Raw genomic sequence first — 1,084 nt, 5'->3', positions numbered from 1 at the left:
CCCTCCGCGCCGGCGACCGCGGGTCGCGCATGCTCCGTGGGAGGGAGTGCGCCGCGCCTCCCGCCGGAAGCGTTCTCTCCCAGGTTGCGTTTCCTTCCTGTGTGAGGCCGGCTGAGGGCACTTGCTCTTGCTGTTTCTGCCCCTGGGTGAGTAGCTGGTTCCCGTGGGGCCTCATGGGATGGTTGTCGTATCCTTCTGAGGTCCTTTAAGGACCGTCTCGGACCTGGGAACCCCCGGAGGAAAGGTCACCCCGGTCTTCTCCCACGCCCTACCTCAGTGCCGCCCCCAAGCGCCCCGCAGCCCTTAGTATCTAGAGGATTAACCTCCAAGGGCGTCCCGGGCCTCGCCTTGGCGTCCGGCCCGGCCTGGGCCCTTAGGGTCTGCTTAGCTCTTCCCCAAGACTCGTGCCATTCCCGAGGGAATCTTTGTCGGCATCCTGGTCACTGTGGGGGTTTGAGGTCGTCCCGGAAGACTTCAGAACCAGGCGAACCTAGACGAAGGCGGCTGGAATGAACCAGGTCTGATTGTCGCACAGGCGCGGCCACCACCTTGTGCAAAATCGAAGGTGGTTCTTCAGGGCCGGGCACGCTTTCACAAAAGATGGTGATGTTAATAATAACCTGCCCTCTTTGTGAAGATTGGCAGGCCTTCATTGTCATAGGCTGTATTCGTAGGGCCTTTATGCCTGCAAAACTGGGACTTTTGAGTTTGAGAAACGATTTGTGAAATACTGCAATGAATTAGGAGAGAAATACTACAGTGAATGCTATGCTATGAATGCTATACATGTCAATAAATTGCTCATAGATGAGGTAGTACGATTTCACGGTTTTCCACTCGGAAATGGAGAACTTAAAATGAAACGACCTGATACCATATTTGCCTAACAAATAACTCTAGGTTATAGTGTTTTAGGATGTTTCTTAGTTGCATACAGCACTATCATCGTATATGTACATATTTGTGTATTCATTTTGTTGAACCTAATGTTTATACAGGATTGAAATACGCTCCCTGCTGTTGTATGCGCATGCAGCTTTTATTGTATGTTCGCTGGTGATGGTATTGCTGCTGTAACAGCCTT

At 51.9% G+C, this 1,084-nt stretch overlaps 1 protein-coding gene across 17 annotated transcripts in view; it reads left to right on the top strand.

The window, feature by feature from the left end:
• ATAD1 (ATPase family AAA domain containing 1) overlaps positions 1–1,084 on the top strand; it is an 89,850-nt gene that overhangs the window by 23,049 nt on the left and 65,717 nt on the right. For 7 of the 17 annotated variants that reach the window (NR_135914.2, NM_001321968.2, NM_001321967.2 and 4 more), the window contains exon 1: positions 87–146. The exons of 6 other annotated variants lie outside the window; for them this stretch is intronic. The gene's annotated coding sequence lies outside the window, so the exon portion shown is untranslated. Of the gene's footprint in view, positions 1–86; positions 519–1,084 lie in introns of those variants that run through there. 4 more of the 17 variants (XM_017016848.2, NM_032810.4, XM_047425910.1 and 1 more) reach the window with 1 other exon arrangement.

The sequence above is a fragment of the Homo sapiens genome, chromosome 10, assembly GCF_000001405.40.
Source record: "Homo sapiens chromosome 10, GRCh38.p14 Primary Assembly".
NCBI classification, from domain to species: domain Eukaryota; kingdom Metazoa; phylum Chordata; class Mammalia; order Primates; family Hominidae; genus Homo; species Homo sapiens.
The sequence above is the reverse complement of the archived record's forward strand: the minus strand, read 5'-3'. Positions and strand labels throughout refer to the sequence as shown.